The sequence below is a fragment of the Homo sapiens genome, chromosome 1, assembly GCF_000001405.40.
Source record: "Homo sapiens chromosome 1, GRCh38.p14 Primary Assembly".
In the NCBI taxonomy this organism is placed as follows: Eukaryota; Metazoa; Chordata; class Mammalia; order Primates; family Hominidae; genus Homo; species Homo sapiens.
This window is the reverse complement of record NC_000001.11, coordinates 198,596,871-198,601,524: the sequence shown is the minus strand read 5'-3', so window position 1 is coordinate 198,601,524 and position 4,654 is coordinate 198,596,871. Positions and strand designations below refer to the sequence as shown.

General features: G+C 41.3%; 1 long non-coding RNA gene across 1 annotated transcript; it reads left to right on the top strand.

The window, feature by feature from the left end:
- Positions 1 to 2,656: 2,656 nt before the first annotated feature.
- LOC124904478 (uncharacterized) lies at positions 2,657 to 3,801 on the top strand. Its single transcript, XR_007066781.1, has 2 exons — positions 2,657 to 2,759; positions 3,542 to 3,801. It is a non-coding gene; the product is annotated as an uncharacterized LOC124904478 (long non-coding RNA).
- Positions 3,802 to 4,654: the final 853 nt, after the last annotated feature.

Sequence of the window (4,654 nt, the reverse complement as noted above, 5' to 3'; positions counted from 1 at the left end):
CTTGCTATCCTTTAAGCAAACAGACTGGTGTCATTTGCCTCTGCACTAGAGATCTGTGGAACTTTGAACCTGAGAGAGATGATTTAGGGTATCTGGCGGGAGAAATTTCTAAGCAGCAAAGCATTCAAGATGTGACCTGGCTGTTTCTAAAATATATGCTCATATGCATGAACATAGATTATCTGAATCTTGAACTTATATTTAAAAGAGAAGCAGAGCATAGAAGTTTAGAAAATTTGCAGCCTGGCCATGCAGTAGAAAAGAAAAACCCATGTTTTGGGAAAAATTCAAGCCAGCTGCAGAAATTTGCATAAGTAAAGAGGAGTCAAATGTTAATAGCAAAGACAATGGGAAAAATGTCTCAGGGCATTTCAGAAACCTTCTCAGCAGCCCCTCCCATTACAGGCCCATGGCTAGGAGGAAAAAATGGTTTTGTGGGCCAGGCCCAGGGCCATTGCTTCAGAGGATGCAAGCCCCAAGTGGTGTTTGGCCTACAGTTGCGCAGAAGGCAGGAATTGAGGTTTGAGAACCTCCTCCTAAATTTCAGGGGATGTATGGAAACACCTGGGTGTCCAGGCAGAAGTCTGATGCAGTGGAGGGGCCTTCATAGAGAACCTCTACTAGGGCAGCAATGAGGGGAAATGTGGAGTTGGAGCCCACATGGAGTCCATTCTCACACAGCTGTAAAATACTACCTGAGACTGGGTAATTACAAAGAAAAGGAGCTTACACAGTTCTTCAGGCTTAACAGGAAGCATGACTGGGAAGCCTCAAGAAACTTACAATTATGGTGGAGGGTAAAAGTGAAGCAAATACCTTCTTCACATGGTGGCAGGACAGAGACAGAGTGAAGGGAGATGTTCCACACACTTTAAGCCATCAGATCTCGTGAGAACTGACTCATTATCAGAGAACAGCATGAGTGAAATCCTACCCTGTGATCCAATCACCTCCCACCAGGTCCCTCCCCCAATGTCGGGAATTACAATTCAACATGAGATTTGGGGATGGGACACAGAGCAAAACCACATCATTCCTCCCCTGGTCCCTTCCCAATCTGATGTCCTTCTCACAATTCAAAACACAATCATGCCTTCCTAACAGTCCCTGAAAGTCTAAACTAATTCCAGCATTAACTCAAAAGTCCAAGTTCAAAGTGTAATCTGAGACAAGGCAAGTCCCTTCTGCTTATGAGTCCACAAAATCAAAAACAATCTAGTTACTTCCAAGATATAATGAAGGTAGAGGCATTGGGCAAATGCTCCCATTCCAAATGTGAGAAATTGCCAAAACAAGGGGGCTACAGGCCCCATGCAAGCCTAAAACCCAGGAATGCAGTCATTAAATCTCAAAGGTCTAAAATAATCTCCTTTGACTCCATATCTCACATCCAGAGCATACTGATGCAAGGGGTAGACTCCCAAGGCCTTGAGCAGCTCCGGCCCTGTGGATCTGCAGGGTACAGCCCCCATGGTTGCTTTCATGGCCTGACGTTGAGTGCCTGTGGCTTTTTCAGGCACACAGTGCAAGTTGTCAGTTGCTCTACCATTTTGGGGTCTGGAGAACCATGGCCCTCTTCTCACAGCTCCACTAGGCAGCACCCCAGTGGGGATTCTGTGTGTGGGCTCCAACAAAAAAATTAGCTGGATGTAGTGGTAAACACCTATAGTTCCAGCTCCTTGGGAGGCTGAAGCAGGAGATTGCTTGAGCCTTGCAGGTCAAGGCTGCAGTAAGCCATGATCAGGTCACTGCATTCCAGCCTAGGTGACACAGCAAGACGCTGTTTAAAAAAAAAAAATTGTGGGTGGAGGACATGAACAGAAATATATTTCAATTGATGTCAATTTGTTTGGTACTATTCAAGGTTTCAGTATCCACTGGGAGTCTTGGAATGTATCTTCTGTAGATAAAGGGCCACTACTGTATTACAATGCCTATCAAATGTCTAGCAGAGAGAAAGGGCTCAGTAAATATTAGCCACTCCACCTCCAGAACAATAGCCATAGAAATTTTACTGTGAGAGGGTAAATAGATGTTTAGTTAACTGTTTTCAAGTACAGTTTCCAGTAGAAAAATAAGTATACAATCAAATAAAATGTCCATTGTTGCAATACCCTGAAATAATTTGAAAAATTCAGAATCTACTTAGTTTTAAGGTCTTTGAGGTCAGGAGTGAAACCTAAACATAAGGAGGCTATAAAGTACTAGACATTTTGTGTTCTTTGTAATTGACATTTGAATAAATACCAGGGGAAACAGGAAGTGAGCATGGAAAGCTTCTAGATGCACATTCTAGATACTGTAGGGAGGCTCTGCTATCTGCCTCTCTAAGTCTGTTCTGTTACAATGCAGCTAAGTCTCACCATGGGTTCTCCCATCCCTAGAGTGCTCCCTTAATCTTTGTTCCTGGCCTTGGATCATTAGACCTGCAGTTGTTACAGCCCCAGATATCGGCAGCTGTGTTTCTAACCATGGCTTGATAACCCAACCATGAACTTTGACCACCACCATCTGGTTTAACGATGTGGCTTTGTTGTTCTCTATTCAAGCCTGAATAGTTCCACCATCACGCTTGCTTGGCCCAATGAAATGTGAACGCAAGTGATGTGTGACTTCTGGGTGGCAGGGTTAAAAGCCCGGGTATGATTCACCAAGCGACCTATTCCCTGCCACATGATCCTGGGGGCAGATGGATAGCTGATCTCTGAGTGACTACAGTGAACAAAGAAAGAAAGACTCCTGCCAAACCTTGTGGACAGGTAGTACAAGCAAGAAATTAACTTTTGTTCTGTTAAGTCTCTGAGATGTTGGTTGTTGTTTTCCATTGTATAACCTACTTTTCTTGACAAAAACCCTCATTAAAGCAGAGCCTGAGCTCCTCTCCACTATTTAAAGAACTTGGGGATCTAGATCAGGACTAGCCATCCTGGAGATGTTCAGTAAAGATTCTCTAATTGAATACAAAATGTCCAATAACAAAATATGGGTTTTTTGAAGGCCCAATAGAATGGGTCATGTTTTAGTCTCATTTTATGATTTATTAAAGTCAAGGATAGCAAAGAAAGTAATATTTTTTAAGATGCTTAAAATAGAGTGTTAAAGTAGGGGAGAGGTTCTTAACCTATTCCCTTCACTCTTGTGTGAGAGAAGCTATCATTTAAAACCCTGGCTCTTTTCATACTTCAATCCTACTGATGTTTTTCTTTTCTTTGAGACGGAGTCAGGCTCGAGTGCAGTGGTGTGACCTCTTGGGTTCAAACGATTCGCCTGCCTCAGCCTACTGAGTAGCTGGGATTACAGCTGCATATCACCATCCTTGGTTAATTTTTGTGTTTTTTAGTAGAAATTAGGTTTCAACATGTTGGCCAGGGTGGTCTCAAACTTTTGACCTCAAGTGATCTGCCTACCTCAGCCTCACAAAGTGCCGGGATTACTGGCGTGAGCCACCATGCCTGGCCCCTACTGACTTTAAAAATATGAAGTTGTATGGTTGAAAAGTAACAGATTTTTCTTCCATTTTCTTCCTTTTCTCACTTTTCAGTCAGATAATTGGAATGTTCCCTTTGTAAGGTTGGGAAGAAGGACGATCAAGTGGGTAGCTAGCTCCTTGCACCTCTGTGGAAGAGCTAAACTTCCTCTGTGAAGAGCTTCACCACAGGGCCCTTGGCACTGGGGACAGAGTGGCACATTTATACCAAGCACCCACTTCCACTTTCTCTCTAACACTTGAAAACTTTCACAGTACTTTTTCACTAAGGCTACTGTCAAGTCTGAAAAATAAAGACATTGTTTCACTTAGAAGTTGTATTACCTGTGGATTATTTAAACTCCCCTAAATGACATCTAGATGATATAGTAAGAAATTTGTTGTGTAGTGTACAGTCAACTCAGATACAAAGAATGTAATGGCTTTAGTGAGCCAACTGTACTTGTAAAATTAAAACTTAACCAACATGTTGAATCAGGCACATAAAGTATTGGCTAAATTCATTTGCTTCCTTATAGACATTACTTTAGAAATTCCTCTTTAGTGTTTAAATAAATAATAATCTAAAGTAAAAAGCACAAACAGGAAAATAGGCTTTACAGTTAATTATTTTCTTTTGAAGTTTTATTCTTATTGTTTTTACTCTCAAGAAGTGGCGAAGTATCTTTAACTGGGTAAAAGTAGATTGTCTTTACCAAACTGTATATTTGGGTTTTTGTGAATTCCCAGTATCTTTTGGGGTACATACATAGTGTGCCAACATTTGAAAGTAAACAGAGAAATGAATTCTGCATATAAGTCTGGCTTTTTACGTTAGGTTATGATCAAGACAAGTTGATTTGTTCCTGGACACAAGGTGAGCCCATATGCTACTAGGTTACCCCTCACCTTGCTAGACAGATGCAGATTTATGAGGGCAAACCTTATAGGAACATCCTCTATCATTCCTCAGATGATAAGGCACTGGCTCCCATATTAAGTTTTAACAATCTAGTGAGTGAAAAATGAAAAACAGCGAGTATCTCTGGATTTAATCACAGACACATAAGAAAAGTAAAATTATCATTCAACCTCAGGGATAGTGGATGAAGGCAGAATCTTAGTCTTATAAATTTAATTTAATACATGAAATGCCTCCAAGATTTGAGGCTTTGTGGGATAATAAGA